We start from the raw sequence: 23207 nt of genomic DNA, 5'->3' as shown, positions 1-23207 counted from the left end.
TTTTCACTAGAATGCACAAGAACCTCAGCAGGTGAAACCTTAAAACCTTAAAACCTCAAAACCTCAGCAGGTGAAACCTTAAAAAGACTAGAGCTCTGAAAATAAAAGATGGAGTTGAGGGGATCAAATAGCTTGTGGATGTGTCTAGAAACCTCTCTGATGCAATGTGCAGAGAATTTGGAACATAAATTAAGAAATCCATGTCTTCAAATAATTTTCTGTGTGACTACAGGATTGAGACCAACTGTGACCAAAATTCAGGGTCACAAAATTGGTAGATATTAGAAGGAAGGAAGTTTTGAAAAAGCATAACAGAGAGAAAAAAGAGGTCTCCATTTCTGGACCTCAGAGAGACCTGAAAGTCACTGTGTGTGTGTGTGTGTGTGTGTGTGTGTGTGTGTGTGTGTGTGGCGAGGGAGATTATTCCATGCAAATTATAAATATTTTACACAATATAAATAATACACAGCAAAAGTAAGTCTTTCCTCCTCATCTGTCCTTCAGTATCACAGTTCTCATTATAGAGGCATCTATGCATCTGTTCTTTCAAACACTCTCATACACGTACATACTCATTATTTTCAGACAAACATACATATCATTCTGTGCCTTGTTTTTTGTCCATGCAAAATGGCCACGTAGTATTCCATTGTTTGGCTGTACTATATTATATTTAAACAGTTTTGCATTTTTGTATTTTCATTTCCAGTCTTTTACTACCAAAGATTATGCTGAAATGGTTATCCCCATAAAAAGATGTTTGCCAACATGAACAAATATATTTATAAAAATTATTGAAAATATGTAAATGATAACAGAGAACCCATGCATTTTTCATTTAATAAATATTGCTTCACTTCCTTGCCAACACAATGTATTATTAAACATTTTTATCTTTCTGAAGTTAATAGGTGAAAAATGCTAATTCAGAATACCATTTCAAAATTTTCTCTATTATTACTGAAGCCTGGGTTGAAAAAATAATTTTAAAATCCATTTGTATGTCTCTCTTTGAATAGTCTATTGAAAATTATGTTTAAGTGTTCATTTTGGAGACAGAATACCAGTGATCAAACTCTAGCTCTATGATTTATTTTCTATGAAAAAATTGCTCAGAGATTTTCTGTGACTTAGTTTTATCTTTGAGCTTAGTTTTATCATTGGATGGTGGAGAAAGAACAGTACAAACCTTAAAGAATTACTGTGAGAATCACTTGAAATATGTATTGAAACCAACAGATATATATTGATTGATAATGATAGATGCATAGGTAGACAGGTAGATTACACACTACCTAGATAAAAATTAAAATAGTGGCTACCACGTAACAAATAAGTAACATTAGCTATTATAGTATTAGCACAATTTTCTTTTGGAGAGTTAATTTTTTGTTGGTTTACTAAAGCTCTTTATATATTAAAGTCACGTTTTATGTGACTTTATATTTTGAAGCTTTTTATTCCATTTTGGCGTTTAGTTTTTGCTGTTTTATTGTATTTTTGCCACGTAGAAATATTTGCTTTCATATATCTCTTCCTTATGGTATATTCAAATGCATTCATCTTTATAATGTCTCCTGAAATTTTGGTCTTGCTTAGAAAACCTGACCCACTCTAAGCTTACTTTTTTAAATCCTGAAAATTTCTGGTATGTTTTATATTTAATCTTTTAAGCCTATCATTTGGAGTTATTTTGATCTAAGGAATAAGGTAAGGGGTTAATTTTTTTCAAGTGGCTAGACAATTGACTCAACATTATGCGCTCAAAAATCTATTATTTTCTCCCTGATTAGTAATATCTTTGCAGTACAGTAATTTTCTCTATGTAATTTGTTTCTGTCTTCTATCAATCTATCTAGTTATACTTTCACTATTGCCAACTATTTTTAATTATTTCAGCTTAATAATATTATTTAATGTATGATCGAACTTGTCTCCACCCTATTGCCCTTCTGTTTTAAGACTGTTTCTCGTTTTCTACATGTTTAGTCTTCATTGAAATTTTTGAGTGAGCATGTCTAGTTTCAAATAAATGTATAAAAATTTCAAGGTAATCATAATTTAGACAATACCCACTACTATAAAAATAAGAGTTGCTGAATTAAAAGAGTAGGTACCTAATGAAAATTAACCTCAATAATATTCTGACATAACTCCTAAACTGTTTTTCCAAGAACATTGAAATTAGCAATACTAGGCTAAGATATCATGGCAAAACTAGTATTGCCTAATTAGTTTGATTCTATGACACACCACTGGACTTTATAATTGAGATGTGTTTATCATATGCCAATAATTTTGTAGGTAAATTTTGCCATTAAATATGTGCTCATCTCGTTGAATTATCTATCACTTACACGAATTCTCTTTGGATTTGTGCCAATAGCAGTCTGCTCCTAGTCCCCATTAACTTTGATGCTCCTCCAACCCTTCTTCCATTCAGCAGAAAAAAAAGTTACCGAGCATATACTGTACTAACAGTATAAACACGTTGTTCATTGACTTTTTTTGAGAATAAGATAATTTCTCAGTTATCTACAAATCATTACACTAGCTTGCATATAATTTATCATTGACTGATTTGATTTATTTTACCCACATTAGCAAACTCTGACTCTTACAAATCATTTTCAATAGGCAGTTTTTCTCTGTTTCTGAATATATGTACCTAAGAAAAAAGGCGAAAAAGACGAAAGATAAACGCAAGATTGGGGCAGGGTTATTTATAATGCAGGGACAATTTATATTTATATTTATTAGTGCAGGAACTAAGAGAACCTAGACTGAATGTGTGATAGATGGGTAACAGAGCCACAGAAGGTGATTTAGAATTGTGAGTTTTATGCAAAGTTTTGTTTAATTTTTAAAAATATTTTTATTTTTTATTTGAAATAATTATAGTATTATAATTTCAAAAAATGTATATAGAGGTCTCACGTATTCTTCACTTAGCATCCCCAATGATAACAACTTGTGTAGCTATAGAACAGTTTCTAAACCAAGACATTCACATTGGTATAATCTGTAGAGCTTATTTAGGTTTCTGAAGTTGTACATGCACTAATTTGTATGTGTATGGTTCTATGCAATTTTATCGTATGTATAGATTCATGTAACCATTGCCACAATCAAGACTCACAATGGTTTCACAATCACAGCTTTCCTCATGCTACTCCTTCACACAGCCACACCCATCCCCTCCCCACATCATTAATCCCTGACAATCACTAATCTGTTACTTACTCCTACTATTTTGTTATTGCAATAATGTCATATAAATGGAATTGTACAGTAGTAACCTTTTAAAATTGGCTTTTCTCACTCTGCATGAGGGATAAAAGCATGATATCTATGCAAGTTATTATGTGTATAAATGCTTTTGTTCCTCTGTATTGCTATATAATAGACTATGTTATGAATGTGCCACTGTTTGCTTAACCATTCACCCACTGGAAGACATCTGGGTTGTTTCCAGATTTGGGCTGTGATGAATAAAGCTGCTATTAATATTCATGTACAGGTTTTGGTGTGAATATAAGCTTTTGTTTCTCTAGGATAAGTCCCAAAGAGTGTAATTGCTGGGTCATGGGGTAAGGCATGCATAATTTTATAAGAAATTGCTAAACTATTTTCCGGAGTGCCTGTATCATTTTATATCCCTACCAACAACATACTAGTGATCCAGTTTCCCTAAATTTTCAACAGCATTTGATGTTATCTTTATTTTTTATTTCAGCCATTCTGATAGGTATATAATAATATCTCATCGTGGTTTTAATTTGCATTTCACTGATAGCTGATAATGTTGATCATCTTCTCATATGCTTATTTGCAATATGTATATCCTCAAAGTGAAATCTGTTTAATGCTTTTTGCTCATTTTCTAACTTTTTTTTTTTTTACTGTTTCATTTTGGGAATTCTTTATATATTCTAGCTACAACTCTGTGTCAGATACCTGGTTTTTAAATATTTACTCCCAGTCTGTAGTTTATCATTTGATCTTCTTAACAGGATCTTTTACAGAGCAAAAGTTTTAAATTTTGATGAAATCCAATTTGTGTGTGTATATGTGTGTGTGTATTGTGCTTTTGGTGTCAAACCTAAGAACTCTTCGCTTGGCTCTGCATCTTGAAGATTTTATTTTTTCCAAAAGTTTCACAGTTTTACATTTTACATTTAATTTCATGATTCACTTTGAGTTTATTTTTTATGATGTTTATTTATAAATAGATTTTTTGGATAGGAGGAATAGTTCATTATTTTTATCTTAATAGCCACAGCTATTCCTTCTCCCCAGTCATAACCCCTGACAATCACTAATCTGTTATTAATCCCTACAATTTTGTTATTTCATGAATGTTATATAAATGGAATTGTACAGTGGTTATTCTGCTTTGAATAACCAAAATGTATATCAAAGACTTTTAATAGATGACTTTAAAACCTTTTATATTTTGAGGCTGAAAAATTTCCTTTTTATCTCACTATGATTATTCTACCTGAAAATTTAATTTAGAAATATAGGGACCACATCACACCGTTTTCAACCCATCACCTTCGGAAATTTCCTGTCATTTATCACAGGGCAATTTTGTATTATAGATTTGGAAAATAGTTTTATATCTGTCTTATTATTGAGAATAACTGGAAACTTTTCCTAAAATTTATGTTCTTTTAAACCTTAATATTCCCCAGGAAAATTGCCCATCCATCTTTAAGTCATCAAAATGAACTGAAAACGAGATTTTCTTTCTTCTTCTATGACTTCTTTTCTGATATTTAGGCACATGTTTCCTGAAGAAAAGACTAATTCTCTCCAAATTGTCCCAAGAATAAGAAATCCCTCTTCTTGTCATTACTTTTTGTGAAAGTCATATGCTTTCATCTACGTCTTTTCACAATCACAGTTTCATGGCCAAATGGCCTGGCTCCCTGGGACGTAGTCATGCTTCTTCCCAGAACAGGGTCCTGATTTTGCTCTCATGGGTGAATTTTGAAAAGACCAATATTACAATTGAGGATAATACTTTCTAAAAGTCTCCTTAAGGGTTAAGAATCAAGAAGTTTTTATTCCAATGGAAATAATTCGGCCTTTGGAACCAGAGTCAGGAAAGTAGAAAAGCAAGCTCATTTTCCTTAAGTCTTAGGCTAGGACTTGTAATGGAAGGAATATCCACCCAGAAATTAAGTAAATCAAGTAGGTCACTCAACGGGAAAGAAAAAAATATAAAAAGAAGAAGAGCAAGTCATGGCAATATACAGACAAATCATCTAACAATTCGCATATGGATTTGGCCAAGTGTTTCTTAACTTTTTAAGAGTCAGTTTCACACTTTAATGTAGTCACCACAAATTTCTAAAAAAAATCTTTTGTTGGCTGGGCACGGTGGCTCACGCTTGTAATCCCAGAACTTTGGGAGGCTGAGGCTGGCAGATCACCTGAGGTCAGGAGTTCGAGACCAGCCTGGCCAACATGGTGAAACCCCACCTCTACTTAACAAAAAAATACAAAAATTAGCCGGGCATGGTGGTGTGCACCTGTATCCCAGCTACTTGGGAGGCTGAAGCAGGAGAATTGCTTGAACCCGGGAGGTGGAGGTTGCAGTGAGCCGAGATAGTGCCATTGCACTCCAGCCTGGGCGACAAGAGTGAAACTCCATCTTGGAAAAAAAAAAATATATATATATATATATATACACACACACACACACACACACACACACACACACATATATATATATCTTTTGCCGAATAATCTACTTCAAGATAAAGAACTGAAGATAAACACGCTTTTGATTAATGACAATTTAAGATATGTTCTCTGAGCCAGAGAGAACATTTTCCTTAGAGTGAAGTTTCTCCTAAATCTCCATCTCCATTGACAGTGCCTCCCTGCCTCTTCCTGTTCACACTGTGACTCTTGCCCAGGTGTTTATATCGGGGGACATTGAGATATGAATTTTTTAGGCCCCCCTCAGGTGAATATTTCACTGTAGTTTCACTCAGGGGATGAAAGAACATTGCCAAAACCTCAAGCTGTGAGGCTGTGAAAATACAGCTGATGGAACTGGCTGGTTTCTGCAAGTTCAGAGAATACCAACCCTTTGTTCCATTCTGCTCATTAAAAGACTCCTGATCTATAAGGAAAATAATTCTCCCACTTGGTGGATGTCTGTACCAGAGTAAATAATAATTAAGTTTTAGCTTCTTATACACAATCCAAGGTCACAGCCTCCTTCTGCAGCATAGAAATTGCAGCCTGGGTTTGAGTTACCTTCTGGGATTGGCTAGATCTTGAAAAAGAGAGAAAAGAGAGGAGAGGAGATGAGAGGAGAGGAGAGAGGAGAGGAGAAGAAGAGTGAGAAAATTATAGTGATTCTCCTGGTAGTATAGAAATTCCCATCAAGACACACAAGCAATGGGGAAACGATTCCCTATTTAACAAATGGTGTTGGGAAAACTGGCTAGCCATAGGCAGAAAACTGAAACTGGACCCTTTCCGTACACCTTATACAAAAATCAGCTCAAGATGGCTCAAAGACTTAAACCTAAGACCTAGGACCGTAAAAATCCTAGAAGAAAACCTGAGCAATACCATTCAGGACATAGGCATGGGCAAAGATTTCATGACTAAAACACCAAAAGCAATGGCAACAAAAGCCAAAACTGACAAATGGGATTTAATTAAACTAAAAAGCTTCTGCACAGCAAAAGAAACTATCATCAGAGTAAACAGGCAACCTACAGAATGGGAGAAAATTTTTGCAATCTATCCATCTGACAAAGGGCTAATATCCAGAATCTACAAAGAACTTAAACAAATTTACAAGAAAAAAGCAAACAACCCCATCAAATAATTAGGCAAAGGATATGAACAGACACTTCTCCAAAGAAGACATTTATGCAGCCAACAGACATATGAAAAAATGCTCATCATCACTGGTCATTAGAGAAATGCAAATCAAAACCACAATGAGATACCATCTCACACCAGTTGGAATGGTGATCATTAAAAAGTCAGGAAACAACAGATGCTGGAGAGGTTGTGGAAAAGTAGGAATGCTTTTACACTGTTGGTGGGACTATAAAATAGTTCAACCATTGTGGAAGGCAGTGTGGCGATTCCTCAAGGATCTAGAACTAGAAATACCATTTGGCCCAGTAATCCCATTACTGGGCATATACCCAGAGGATTATAAATCATGCTACTATAAAGACACATGCACACGTATGTTTATTGTGGCACTATTCACAATAGCAAAGACTTGGAACCAACCCAAATGTCCATCAATGATAGACTGAATTCAGAAAATGTGGCACTTATACACCATGGAATGCTATGCAGCCATAAAAAAGGATGAGTTAATGTCCTTTGCAGGGACATGGATGAAGCTGGAAACCATCATTCTCAGCAAACTATCACAAGATCAGAAAACCAAACACTGCATGTTCTCACTCATAGGTGGGAGTTGAACTATAAGAACACATGGACACAGGGAGGGGAACATCACACACTGGGGCCTGTTGGGGTTGGGTGGGTAGGGGAGGGATAACATTAGAAGAGTGACAGGTTGATGGGTGCAGCAAACAACCAGGGCACGTGTATACCTATGTAACAAAACTGCAAGTTCTGCACATGTAACCCAGAACTTAAAGCATAAAAATAAATTTCGGTCAGGGCTTGAGTTACCCTCTGGAACTAGCTAGATCCTGAAAAAGAGAGAGAAAAGAGATGAGAGAGGGGGAAGGGAGAGAGAATTATGCTGATTCTCCTGGGGGTACCCATGAGGTTGTAAGGAAATAATGTAGGACGGGGCTGTGACTCCCTGTCCATTACCTCTTTCCCCTAAACCCCATCAGGTTTAGGAGAAAATAACAACCTGCTGCTGCCCCCAGATTTTAAAGCTGAGAAAAGCCGGAGTCCTGCATTTGTGGCCATCTTTACCATCCTTTGTCAGAAAGAGGCTATGACTATCCTCAGTAGGCAGGGGAGCAGAATGTTGCAAGTTCTTCTGAGTGCCGAGCTGTAAGGTGCTCCTCTGCCAGAAGAGAAAATGTGATCTGCTGATATCAGTTTGCCTGTGTTAAGCCATAGCTTTTTGACACAGTTGGAGATTCTAACCTGCCTATTTGGTCTTATTTTAATTTAATAGACAGAAATTATATCTGTACATGTACATGAGTTAAATTAAATTGAAGGTTTTAATGATTCAACCATTTGCTACATTCAGCCAATGCATCAGAGATAGACTCATAAGTTTCATAAGAAATAACAATTTATTATGGGTTATGATGACTACTGAGAACAAGTTATCATCCATCTTTTTGCATGGTGTATGCTTTTTGGTCTCTGGCTGAAATCTACAGTGAAATATATTCCCAGATTTTTCTTCCAGACAGGGAGATAAAACTTTTCACTCTCAATCATTATAACTCTTTCTTCCTGTGCACCAAGCCATTGGATTCTGGGAAAATTTATATTAGATAAAGTTTCTTGTTTGCTTAATGGCATTACAGCAAGTTTCTTGATTGACAAAATTTGTCCCGTTGCATGTGCCCAATAGCAATCAATAGTAAGTCTGTGCTAGGAAAAATCTGGCTTTCAAACATTGCACCCGATAGTCTAAATGAGTGCAGCCAAACTCATCAGAGCATGCATTCTTATTCTCTTATATCATAAATAAAGCAATTGGAACATTGCAAATCCCTCTGTCAGCCCACTGCTGCGGCAGATGTGGCTGAAAGACTTTTTTCACTGGGGGCAACTCTATAGTTTTACCTTTCAGCAGCATGAAAGTTGGTGACTGATTTGTGTGGTGTCAATGTGCAGATATGTGAGTGTGATTCAGTTGACTGCAGCTTTTAATTGTCTGTTTATGCTCTCTTCTTTGAGTGAATATAATTGAATATAATATAATGACCTAAAGTCCCTCTTATGAGAAAATTAATTTTTTTTAAGTCCAGGATGATTTAACTAGTGATAAAATTATCAGAAAGTGGTTGTCTGTAGGAGGAAAAATTAGACTGGAAAGGAGACTTCAGGGATGTAGGGAATGTTCTATATATTATCTTGTTACATGGGTGTATATGGTTCTCAAAACACATTAAACTAAACATGTAAGTGCATTTCATTGTAGAAAAAATTATACCTCATAAAAAAGAACCAAAATAAAATAATATATACACAGAGAAAAATTAATATTTTTAGCTTTCTACAGTTTTTGCAGGAATTTGTCTATACTTTTCCAATTGCTAGAGCAGCTGTGGTCTGTCGTGATTATAGTCTACTCTGATAGCTGTCTGAGACTTGGAATCAACAAAGACTAGCTGGTCATTAATTTGCCCTGGGAAGCTAAATATACACAAATGAAATGACCAAAGACAATAAAATGCCCCAAAGTTCTGAGAATGAAGATTTATGGCTACACATAATAATACAAATACATCTCATAAAGTTATGATTGTGTAAAATTAGCTAGAAACCAGAGTACATACTAAATGATCCCATTTAATTAAAGTGCAAAACTAGTCTGTGCAGTTAGATGTCGGGATAATGGTTACTTGGGCTGGTAGAGACAGGAAGCAGGTACAAGAGTGGCCTGCCATGTGGGTAATGCCCTTTTTCTTGATATGGGTGCTGGTTACATGGGCTTTTCCAAATTGTGAAAACTTACCTAGCCCTACAATTGTGCAGGGGCACATTTCTTTCTATATAGGTTATTTTATTTTATTTTGGTTTCTTTTGTATTGAAGTATGATTGACATAATAAAATGCACAGATACAATGTATTCATTTCAATGAGTTTGAGAATTTTATACACCTGTGTAACTATCACCTAAAACAATATGTAGAGCATTTCCATGATCGCAGAAAAATCCCTTTGTGCCCCTTTTTAGTCAAACTCTCCTTCCCAGAGGAAACCACATTTTTACTTGTATCACCATAGTTTAGTTTTTGTTCTTGTATTTTATATAAAAGGTATCATGCAGTATTTTGAGGGAAGGGCCTGGTTTCCATTGCTCAACACAAGGCTTTAGAGATCCATTAATATTGTTGTGTGTATCAGTCCGTAGTTCTTTTTTATCTCCTGTTGATGGACATTTAAATTGTTTCCAGTTACAACAAATATAAATGAGGTGCATACAAAATTTTTTGTATGGATCATTTATGGGCCTATGTTTTCACTTATCTTTGCTAAATATCTGTGAGTGTTCTTGCTGGGCCATTGCAAGACCCCAAAGTGATTGTGCGGTGCCATTTTACATTCTCGCCAGCACTGCATGAACTGTCTAGTTGTTCCACATATTTGCCAATATTGGGGTTGTCAGATGGCTTGTTTTTAGTGCTTCTAGTGGGGATGAATGGCACCGGAATGTAGATTTTATTTGCATCCCCCTAATGACTTATGATGTTTAACATATTTTATAGATTTGTCTTAGTCTATTTGGGCCACTGTAACAAAATATCATAGATAGGTGGCTTATAAAAACAGAAACTCAAAGTTCTGGAGGAAGTATAGTCCAAGATCAAGCTCCCAGAAGATTCAGTGCCTAGTGAGGGCGTGTTTTCGGGTTGGTAGTCATCTTTGCGGTGTCCTCACATTGCCAAAAAAGCAAGGAAGCTCTCTGTGACCTCTTTTATATGGACATTATTCTCATTACCTAATCACCTCTTAAAGGCCGCACCTCCAAATACGACCACACTGGTAATTCAGTTCTGTCATAAGTTTGTTTAATGTGGTTGCTGCCTTGGCGTCCATTTTCAGGCCTGACATAAGTCATACTTCATCTCCCTTGGCCTAGTTAGAACTTCCACTCCCTGTATGGTTGTTCTTCATCTCACTGACCCAAAATCCAACACTTTCCACAGCTGCTAACCATGATAAATCTAATGGCCAACGCCAGAGTCGTGTACATAATTTCTCCCCTTTTTATGTGTTTTCTTTGAACTAGACAGTCCTCAGTACCCATGGATAAGCCTAAGGGATAATACCCATGAACCTTAATAAACGTATAATCCCACAGGCCTCTCTCTCCCTCTGTTTCTCTCTCTCTTCACCTACTGGTTGAGCTCCCTGCTGCCTCTGAACTTCCCATCAGCCTCCCACTGGCACCTATAACCTCTCTGGGACCTGGGAGAAATAAATTCCTTCTATTTTATGCCTTTTCGCTTCACGTCCTTATATAGCATGTTGGGAGGAGGGCCTGGTTTCTATTGCTCAACATGAAGTTTTAAAGATCCATTCCATTTTACCTGACCCACACACCTAAACCTAATTTTTCCCCTAGTCAAGGCTGTCCTAGGCAGTGGTTATCTTGGCTTATGGTCATTCTCAGGAGAGAGACTTCAAGTCCAAATTAAGAAGACATAACAAATTGGCCACGTGAGGTGGCTCAAACCTGTAATCCCAGCACTTTGGAAGGCTGAGGCAGGTGGACCACGAGGTCAGGAGATCGAGATCATCCTGGCCAACATGATGAAACCGTCTCTACTAAAATACAAAAAATTAGCTGGGCATGGTGGCGCACACCTGTAGTCCCAACTACTTGGAGGCTGAGGTAGGGGAATCGCTTGAACCCGGGAGGGAGAGGATGCAGTGAGCTGAGATTGTGTCACCGCACTCTAGCATGGCAGCAGAGCAAGACTCCGTCAAAAAAAAAAAAGACATAAATTAAAATCACAACAGATTTCAACATATGAATTTGGGGGGACACAAACATTCAGTCTATAGCAGTACTCACTCGTTACACCATTTATGTATTTTATTATTGTGTAATTTTTAATTGTTAATTTATGGGAGGTTTTAAATATATTCTGGAAGTAATATTTTTTCAGCTGTATCTTCTTGAATATTTTTTCAGAATTTAGGTTGCTAATTGACTTTCTTAATACTGTCGTTGGATGAGCACCATTTTAAAATTGTATTCGTGTCCTATTTGTCAATCTTTCTTTTTGGTTAGCATATTTTGTATACATATTTTTAAATATACTGGTTAACCTATTCCCTATACATATGTTTGTTCTTCTCTCTCCGAAACTTACATATCTCAGCATGCATATTGTCTACAATTTCTATTAGATCCATTTGTATTTTATTATATTTATCTTAAAGTACATCCAATAAATCCAACACCTGGGTCATCTCTTTTTGGGTTTATTAACAGTTTTCTCTTTCGACCATGGGTCACATTTTTGTGTGTATGGTTGAATCTCCCAGTGGTTCTTTGCACTTCTTGTATTTGGATAGACCATTTCTTCTAATTATTTTTTAACTTATTTTTTACTCACTTGTGGGTTTTTTAATTTCTTTTTTGCCCCCTTGAGGATGTGACTTTGATTATAGTTTATTATAATCTGGTTTGGCTCTGGGTGCTTTCAGAGATGAATTCTGTATGAGCTCCTTGGTTATAGAAAGCCGTTGTATGACAGCTTTCTTGGATGCTGGTTGTAGTAGCAATGTTCCCAGTATGTGAGCAGGTTCATTGTCTCCTGTGGGGCTTGAATGGCAGAGGCGTCTTGACGCTTGTCTCATTCTCCAGTGGTGTGCACCCTTTTATTTATTTACTTTTTTTCCCCAGTATTTTATTCACTGGGTGGAACAGTTCAGGCTTCAGACCAGTAAGAGATGTCCAAGGGGAACAAAAAAACAACTGTGGCTAAAGCAGATGGGTAAATGCAATATTTAGAGGTGGGCAGAGGTCCCAGCCTTGACAGAAGCAGCTGGGGGAACTCTCAGTGAAATGCACTGAGTCCTCTTCAAGGGGAAGGAGAGAGCCTCCTCAGCTACCCTGCCAGTCCAGCAGGAAAGTGATCCACCTCCCAGTCATACTGCTGGCCCAGTGTTCCAGCTATACAGATCGTATAGGCACCTCTTCTCACCTGCATGAGTGCTGATGTTCCATGTAGACAGGGATTGTGACTCTCCCCCTTGTGTAAGACTAAACCTGGAAGGCATTTTTCCTGTGGGGATGCAATTACCTTGAAGTGTTCTGGAAAGGTTGTCTACAGATGCACCCACACTGAGCTTCCGTGGGAGAAGTTCCAGCTGTGTCTGCAGTGGTGGATGAGGGGGAAAAAGAATTCTACTTTTCAAGACCCTTCACTAGCACCAGGGCTGACTGACTGTTTAGTTAGAGCCACAAGCTTTCCCTGCTGAGCTCAGCACTGCACCTGTGACTCTGTTGAAAGAAACTTCCGCAAAGCAGAAAATTCTGGGACTCAAGACCGGCCATCTGGGTTCTTTTGTCCCACAGGGTGCTCCCTTGATATAGTGCACCCCCTTTACCCCTAGAAGTAGGAGTCCCTGAGAGCCAGACTGCTGTGAATGCTGCTACTCCTCTGGATCTGGCCACCCAGTGGGACTGATACCTCCAGGCTGTTGCTGCAGAATGTCTGCAAGGGATCTAGTGATGTGACCTGTTCTCAAGTCTCCCGGAAGTGGCTACCAGCACTAGCTCTGATGGGAGTGGCAGGAGAGTGACTTAGACTCTGAGAGATTGCTTAGTTATGAATAGCTTTAGTGTGTTGGCTTCCTCAAATGCCAGTTATACTAGTAAACGAACTGATCATGTGGACATGCTGAGGACCTCCTGGTTAGCCAGGGTGCTGCAGGCAATGGTGATAGTTGAGATCACACTCAAGTTTCCTCTTTCTTGGTGCTGTTTTATTCTGTCTACAAATGCTGTGAAGGACTGTGTTGGTTGGCCTCCAGCCAGGAGATAGTGCTTGCAAAGGACTACCAACTGTGGTAATAATGGTGGGATTTGTGCTTGCCTTATGTTACTGGGAGAGGTACTTTGGTGTCTCAGGCAATGGGAAGGGCGATATAGCTCCTAAAAGACTCAGACCTTTGTGTTAAGCAACCGGAGCTGGTGGAGGGGCAAAGCTAGGTGGGGCTGGGTCAGGGAAGTCCGTGTTCTGCGTGCTGGCACAAGTGGAGGCACAAGCTGGCATAAGCAGAGGAGTACAGCTGCCTCTATTGCACAGAAGGCACTTCCCCATGTGGACTCTTCCACATAGGGAGTGGGGAGTAGCAGGCAGCAGTAAGCCTCCCTCAGCCCCTACACACTTGGCAAGGCAGGTCTCACACCTGCAGTGTTTCACTATCAGCAGCTAGCTAGATTCCAAGCAGTCTGCCCTCAGAACTCAAAGCTTCTCCAGGCCACAAGGCTTCCCCATAGAGACAGAAACTGTGGTTTTCAGGCCATGCCCCTCCTGATCCACCTGCAAGGCAGGGGCATTTAGCTCCTGTGCTCATGGTTATAGTACACTTTCTGCTTGTCCCTGAGTTTGGGCTAAAGGAGTTTATCCCCACTCGAGATTATATTGCAAATCTCAGTTGGGAGCTTCTCTCAACCACCACCTGAGCTAGCTGGCAGATGTCTGCGAGGTCCCCTGTGAGGATCAGAAATGGCTTCTCTCTGTCCCCACTGGAGACTGGGAATGCATGCAAAGCACATCCCAATGCTGCTCCTTCTCATGTACCCCGTGCGGCTCACTAAATCAGCTCTAGGGCTTGGTAGGATTAAGTCTTTCCCCGTAGCCTGGATTGCCAGGTTCCCCAGTGGGCATGTATATCCCAGAAGCAGTTTCTAACCCTCTCACACTCTGGGGACTTAGAGTGTTCCAACTAGCTCACAGTGCAGGCTGCAACCTGCTGCTGCTTTTTGTTGTTGTTTGTTTGTTTGAGATGGAGTCTTGCTCTGTCACCAGGCTGGAGTGCAGTGGCGCAATCTCAGCTCACTGCAACCTCCACCTCCCGCGTTCAAGCAATTCTCCTGCCTCAGCCTCCCTAGTAGCTGGGACTACAAGCACGCACCACAACGCCCAGCTAATTTGTGTATTTTTAGTAGAGATGGGGTTTCACCATGTTGGCCAGGATGGTCTCGATCTCTTGATCTCATGATCCGCCCACCTCGGCCTCCCAAAGTGCTGGGATTACAGGCGTGAGCCGCTGTGCCCAGCCAACTTGCTGCTTCATTCAAAGGGTATGTGGTTTCTTTCCATTTTCTTGTTAAGTTCCTGTGTTGCTTCTTGGAAGAAAGTTCACAGTGTGAGTCTCTACACACTATTTTGTCTTCCCAAGTGGGAGAAGCATGTTGACGATGCCTCCAATCCACCATCTTGGAGAAAATAAAAACCAAAAAGAACCTTGACCCTGTTTTTAATAAAATAGCTTGAAGGGAAGGTAGATACCTAAGAAGAATGGAATAGGACTCTAAGAAGAAAGCACTAAACATTCATTTTTTATAGATTCACAGCAATAATTGGGGCAATGTTCAATTATTACTCGCATCATTTTCTCCTTGGGTACAGATAATAATCCCAAATAATTCCAGGCACAACTTTTAAGTAGAAAAATCTGAGGCCTCCTCCTTGCACATGTCTTTATGGTTCTCATGGGACAGAGAACATCTGCCTAGAAAGTCCTCTCTACTCTCCTTTATTCCTTTATCTGAATCAGTTCTATTAAGTCCCCAAGACACAATCAGCATGTCATCTTATAAACATGATAATGCATGTTAGAAACATTATCTAATGTGGCTCTTTTCAAATAATCTATGATAAAGAATCAGTGTTTTCACCAATTTATCATGGACCACTACAACTGTAAAATACAACACAAATAAATTACTTTGACTTTTGTTTCCTTGATAAATGTACACTGCTACAGAAATTGATCTTCAAATTAAAAAGCTGGACAAAATAAAGGAAATTTTCAGACCTTGGACTACAGATAATACAGAGATAATGAAAATAAATGAAGTGAGTCCTAACATTTCTTCCACTTATTTCCTGGAGGCAGTTTCTAGGCAACAGCACAGGGAGGATTAACCACAACACAGCACAGCTGCCTCGTTGTGTTGAGGAATAGAATAGGAGATTGGGGATCCTAAAGCATCTAGAATGTATGAATAAGTGTACCAGAGAGGAGGGATTTGGGGAGAGAGAAAAAGAGAGAGAGACAAAGAGAAAGAGGGGGAGAGAGAGATTCAGAAGAGAACTCTGGCTCTGGAGGGGTCACTCTTTGTCTTTGGCTGATCTGTACATACATGAGAGGAAACTCAGGCAAAGAGAAGCAACAGGCCAAATAATTTCCAGAGTTCACATAGTGCTGGGCATAGTTTGTATTACTAGCATCCAGGATTCAAGAGACATTGTAATGCACAGGGCAGGCACTAGAATCCTCAGAAAGGTGATAAATTAGTAGTGACTTTAATTAGTCCCAGAATAGAGGCTGTTCAGATAAAAATTAAAAGAAGTCTCAAAAAATCAAAATGATAAGCAAATTATTTAATAATCAGTACAATGTCCAATGGTGTTTAAAGTAATATAAAAAAATTGTGCATCCAACAATGTAAAATACATAATATCTAGCACCCAATCAAAATTATCAAGCTGGTGAAGAACCAGGAAAATAAAGTCTATAACCGGGAGAAAGATAAACAGAAACAGAATTTAAAATGACACAGATTATGTGATTATTATAAAAGGACTTTAAAACAGTGCATATAAACTACATACATACAATAAAAATGAATTCAAGGATGTAAAAAAATATAGAAACATAAGGAGGAGAAAAATGGAAGGCGTAAAAAGATCCAAGTGGAACTTGTAGAAATAAAAAACAATTAAATAAAATGAAAAATAAGTTGGACAAGATTAACAGCAGATTAGAAATCACAGGAAAAAAAGCTTAGAGAACTTGAAGAAAAAGCAGTAGAAATGATCTAAACTGAAGCAAAGAAAAAAGATTTTAAAAAAAGAAATAGTGCTCCTGAACTCTACAAAATCAAATAATCTAAAATAGGTGTACCTGAGGCCTCAGAAGAAGAGAGGGAGAGAAAGAAAGATACTTAAAGAAATAATGGCTGAAAGTTTTTCGTAGATACAGAGAAGAAATATAGAGAAAATTACCCCAAGGCTCATTGTAATCAAATTTCTGAGAACCAGTAATAAAAAGGAAAATTTTAACAGCAGTTGGGGTGACAGGATAGAAAAATGAGGAAAGACACTTTAGGTATGGGGAGTCAAAGCTAAGAATAACAGCCAGCTTTTCATCAGAAACAATGTATGTCAGAACCAAACTTTGAAGTGCTAAAAAAAAAACTTTAAAAGATAATTTTTTAAAGGAAAAACCATAAAACTGCATTGTGGGGCTTTTAACTTATGTAGAATAAAAATGTGTTGACAACAATAGCACAAAGAATGGAGGTGAAATGCTGTAAATTTATTACACTGTGTGTGAAGTGGTAAAATATTATTCAAAGTCATATTGTGATAAATTGAATTTGTAGCCTGTAAACCATCAGTTCTCAAACTTGTTGGTCTCAGGATCCCTTTATAGTTTCACTGAGAGATTCCAAGAAGACTCTAAAGAGGTTGTGTTTATGTGGCATAGAGATAGAGGTAGAGATATATTCCATTAACCATCAGAGTGATGACCTTATCACATACCATGTAGACTGGAAACCTTGCATATACACCTGCGAGACTTTGAAAGTAAAAAAGGCAAATAATGTCTTATTATCATTATAAAAATAGTTTTGGAATGCCAGACTCCCTAAAAGGTCTGTCTAGGGTTCCCTGGATCATACTTGGATGACAGCAGCCTTACACCTTTAGCCTTATGATAAATAGGTAACCTTACTTTAGTAACTTGGTTTTCGAAACACCATCTTTTTACTTTTTGTTTCTTTTATAATGCCAGGTTTAGATGCTTACTATTACACACTTCTCTTCATTACAGAGGCATTTATTTTATTATGGCTGTCTCCTGTTTATTTGTTTTATTAGGGATTTCAGGAATCTCAGTTAAAGTTTCTGTTTGCTCGACATCTGTTGGCCTGTTTGTCTAGCCCTTTTAAAATTATTTGTGCTAATGAAATAAGACCAGCAGAATTCATAGCTCATAATTGCTCTAGGATTGGATTTACTTTATGCAAGTTATGGTTGTATTATAGTAAGAAGTTAAAGCATAGTTCTCTGCCTACATAAACCATTTTAAAGCATTGGGACTTTTTTACTGAGGACCACTATATTGTTTTTTTTACACAGGTTCTTATTGGAAGTGCTGTCAGTATAGTAACAATAGCTATGGCAAAAATAAAGTGAACATAAAAATAATCTTCAAATAATAAATATTTATCCTAAATGAATTTTCTCACCAGTTAAAATTACCTACACACTTCAACTCTTAGTAAAATTGTGGTCTTGAGTACAGTTACATGCTGACAAGATTCTCTGGCTAGACAGATCACCTAGCCGCTCTTAAATGTTTATGCATGCTCAGGAATCCCTAAGCTTAAGTACTCATTCCAGAAATTCCGACTTACATGACATGTAAAGCTCTGCAAAAAAACACATAAACCAAAACAAAACATGATTCCTGCCTCAAATTGCTTTCACTTGAGTGAAGATCAGACAGTAAAGCAAATTCTATTCGCTGTCTATGCTCCCGTTAGCCCAGACACAGGCATTTGGAATGAAGGGTCAGACTAGAAGTAGACACTGGATGTATTTAGCACTAGGCAAATAAAGACTGTGTGAATACCTTCTTTACAATATTCAGATTTATTTTGGTCCCTCTATCTCCCTCTTCTTTTCTTAGTCTTCATATCTACCTGTTTAACTTCCAGTGCTCAGGTGTCTAACACCTGAGTTTGTGGAAGTCAAGAATGTTAGGGTAGAAGGTAGCATTTACCTTCAGTTTGGGGTGTCCAGACATCCACCTAGTTTGTTCCCCATTCTTTCAATTTCATCACATTAGTCCTGTGGTTAGCTTCCAGAAAGATTTAGTATAATATAGCCTTTGGAATAAAGAAAATTAAGTTTTATATTAATATAGTTTAAATTCTGTTAAACTGGGCTTCAAAATCAAAAAGTTCTCCATTTTGCTTACTAGTTAAATTATCTGAGGAGTGGTTTCTGGAATTTGATCAATTTGAAACTTATTTCATTGTGATTCATTTGTAGTTCTTGAAGCCCATTGTCATTACCTCTGATAGCCTTCTTTGAAACTTTTCAATATTGGAGCCTAGGATATAAAGGTAAAATTAAGGCTGCCCTGACCTTTAAAAGATTATTTTTCTTGTCTCTTTCTTACTTCCAAAAGCAGATTTTTTGGAGATGCAGTGATTGTTTTTTTCTACAATTCAGTTTTTGCTACAGTAGTCCCATAGAGCAGAGGTGGTACAGCTTTGTCAGTCCTTGAGCTTGCTGGGAACAATATTGAAATAAAATCACTCAGCTCTACATAGCCCCGTAAATGTCTTGTCCAGTATTATGAGACATACAAACGTGTAAGAACATTTAGAAAAAAATGTATATTTGGGAGGAGATAACGTATATACTCATAATAAGGTAATTTGGTATAGAGAGCTCGGGTGAGAAGAGTGAGCTTTACCCTTGGCTGAGCACACTGGCTTAGGCCCCTTCACTTCTCTGAATCTCAGTTTTTAAGCTACAAAATGAGATTAATTCTTTGTACCTTGCCTTGTTCACAATGTTATTATAAACAGTGAATGAGATAATGCTTATAAAAGTGCACTGTAAAATTAAGTGAACTATATTTTAAAAACATACATAAAATATATAAAAATACATTTCAAAAATATTTTTTGAAAAAAAGATTTTTTGAAATATATTTTTTAAAAATTTGGGGTAATTTATCAGAAGGAAGAGATCACTGTGAGCTGGGGTGACCAGAAAATTCTTCACAAGGTAATAATGGTCTGAGATAGTCTCTAGGATCAGGAGAAAGAATGATGGTAAGCATTCAGACAGGTGTAATCATGGGAGCAAAGGACTATGAGCAGAGCTGTTAATGGAGGACAGTAAATGTTTCCCAGCCTCATTCACAAGTTAGACTTAATCTGATGAAGCAGAAAGTTCATGACTACTGTAGAGGCCATCGAGAGCTACACCATGAGTTTTAACTAACCTTACTCCTACAGGAAAAGGATGGTCATTGAAGGTTGTTAAACAGAGGACTGATGTGATTGATGCTGTGTTTCTTAAAAGAATAAGTCATTTGTAGGGTATGGGAGTGGATTATGGGGAGGAAATGCTGGAAGGAGGGAGGCCAGTTAAAAGCCTGTTACAGAAAACCATGTGTAACATACTTGTATTAGACCATTCTCACATTGCTATAAAGAACTATTTGAGATTGGGTATTATGAAGAAAAGATGTTTAATAGACTCACAGTTCTGTAGGCTATACTGGAGGCATGGCTGGGAGGCCTCAGGAAACTAAGAAATTCATGGCAGAAGGTGAAGGAGAAGCAAGTACACTTTCACATGCCCAGCAGGAGAGAGAGAGAGAGAGAGCAAAGGGGGAGGTGCCACACACCTTCAAACAACCAGATCTCTTGAGAACTCTATCACGAGAGAGCACTAGGTGGATGGTGCTAAACCATTAGAAGCCACCTCCATGATCCAATCACCTCCCACCAGACTTCTCCTCCAACACTAGGAATTACAATTCAGCATTAGATTTGAGTGGAGACAGAGAAAAACCACATCAATACCAAAGGTCTAAACTCAAAGCAGTAATTAGCAAGCTACACAGGGAAGTTCAAGTCCATCTGATAACATACTAGATCCTAGGACCTGGGACCGGAGCATCTTTTTAAACATGTAGCTCAGTCCTTTATTGAGAAAACAATTATGAAGCATGTTTTAAATGAAGGCTAATGTGAAGGGCAGTGGGGCTATGAAGATGGATTGAATAAGAAGTATGTTCTCAAAATTTAGTCAATGGGATGGATAAGGTTTCTTTTAAAAACTTTTAAAGTATAATATAGATTCAGAATAGTGCACAAAACTTAAATGTAGAGCTTGGTGAATTTTCATACATAGGCAGTGAAATCGCCTATGTAACCAGCACCCAAATTGAGAAACAGCATTGCCAGCATCCAGAAGCCTCCCTTGTACTCTTTCTGAGTCACTATCTCCTTGTAAAGATAGCCCCTATCTTCACTCTCCTGACTTACAACTTCATAGCTTAGTCTTGCCTTTTCTTGAATTTCTTTTGCTTTCATTTTTCACTCAGTAATATTTGTGTGATTCAATCTGCCTTGAGCATATGGCAAGTTTATTCATTCTCATTGCTGGGTAGTATTTCATTATCGTACTTTATTTATCTTTGAAACTGCTATGTGCATCTGAGTTGCTTTCCAGTTTTAGGATATTATAATCACTGATGTAATACATGTTCTTATTCTTGTACATGTTTTACAAATGAATATATGTAACTTCTTATTGGGCATATAGGTAGAAATTGAATTTCTGCATCACAGGGAATGCACATGTTCAGCTATAGTAAATATTGCCAAATGTTTTTGAAATTGTACCAGTTGACATTCCTTCCAGCCGAATATGTGAATTTCTGTTGCTCCATGTTCTTGTCAATATTTAGTGTAGTCTTTTTCACTTTAGCCATTCTGATCATGGTATAGTTATAGACATGAATTTTCAGAAACAAAATGCAACATATCAAGTGGTAAGTAGCAACAAAGATTAAAGAGTGATTGAGAAGTTTAGAGAAGGAAAGATTACACACGTTGTATCTTTACATCAGGACAGCTATGTCTTGTAAGATAAGAATGGTGACTATACATTATCCAGGACCACTGGGCATTTTAATAGTTGTTCTTATAAATTATGAAATGAGAATAATTCAATGTCTAGACCACATCTTCTAGATTATCAACCAGCAAAACAGATGTCTTTTCTCACCTACTGTGTTCCCCACTTTCCTTTCCAAAAGTACAGTCATAGGAGGTTGAGACAGAAGTTTAGTCTGTGGAGATGGAGAAAGGACATTTTGTGCAATGGGGACAATTTAAGCAGAGACATAGATCTGTGACCAGACACAGTGGCATCCATATTACTGTGAACAAGCAGAAGAGTGAGGAGGTGTCTGCGCTTTGGGGGTGGATGAAACCTTCTCCTAGCTTCCTGGAGCAGGTTATAAATCTCCTCTTAAATCTCTTTTTTGTATGACAGCTTGCATTTAAACTGAATACAGGATGAGAATATCTTCTTTGTCAATAATTACCTCATCTTACAAAATATATTAATTCAGCAATCAATAATATCTCAAATACATTTTAAAGTGTTTATGTACTCTTAGAGTAAGAGGGGAAAATCTCCATAACCTATATTTATTGCTTCACAAGTCATCTTTTAGGTGTATAGTTGCTCAAGGGAAAAATGCCATTTCTTTGTTGGCTTTTATCTTGATGTGTGGGACTTCACAGGGTTGTTTATTTCAACAGTGTGAAAGACTGAAATCAAATTGGTTTGAAGGCTGATGTGAATATTGATTACATCTTAGAGCATTTCTTCTTTGGTCTGTTGGCAAATATGAGAAAATATACCTTAAATTACCTAGTTAGGGGAATTAAAGCAGCCCTGCCTGCCCCCTGAAAACACTTTTATGTTAAACATCCGTCATGTGCTGCTTCTCTGACAGGGCCTGGGCCTTAGCAGCAGGGTAGGTACTGGTGGGGGAGCAGCTGCAAATGGGGATATTTACTGGAGCTGCAAATGGGGATTTAGGGACCTGTTGGGGTGATTTTCAAGCAGTGCCAAGATGTCCTTTCCTTATCAATGAGTTTTGGCTCTTTCCTTTGAAAAACGTGTCAAGGAGCAGTGTGGTGTTATGAAACTAGCACATGATTGAAAATCTGATTTAGGCCCTGAACAAATTCCACCCTTTCCATTAACATTGGCTGTCACAGATTGAGTCTCTACTGCGTCGACATGCCATGCTATGTACCGTGCGAAAACTGTCTGTATAAAATCATGTATAGTTTAATTTAAACATATAGGTGTATGTAAATATGTATAATTTTAATTCTCAACTCGACTTCGCGAGGTAAATTCTATTATCACCATTTAATGGATGAGGAAACTGAGACATCAACAGGTTAAAGAATCAAAAGTCATGCTGCAATGGAGATGACAGGATTTGAATCTAGCCAATTTCTATTTTTAATTTTTTTAAAGAAAATTTCTCAAACATATAGAAAAGTATACAGTATGGAACAATGAAACCCCATGTACCCATCACCCATGTTCATCAAATATTGATTCTTGGTCAATCTTGTTTTATTTATGCCCCAACTACATTTACTCATTCATTTATTTTTTTAAAGCCATTCATATATTTGTAAAATATCATATTATTTTGCTTTTGC

At 37.5% G+C, this 23207-nt stretch overlaps 1 gene; it reads right to left on the bottom strand.

The window, feature by feature from the left end:
• Positions 1 to 23207, bottom strand: part of TRA (T cell receptor alpha locus) — a 930229-nt gene that overhangs the window by 511923 nt on the left and 395099 nt on the right.

This window comes from Homo sapiens, chromosome 14, assembly GCF_000001405.40.
Source record: "Homo sapiens chromosome 14, GRCh38.p14 Primary Assembly".
NCBI classification, from domain to species: domain Eukaryota; kingdom Metazoa; phylum Chordata; class Mammalia; order Primates; family Hominidae; genus Homo; species Homo sapiens.
This window is presented reverse-complemented; position numbering and strand designations above follow the sequence as displayed.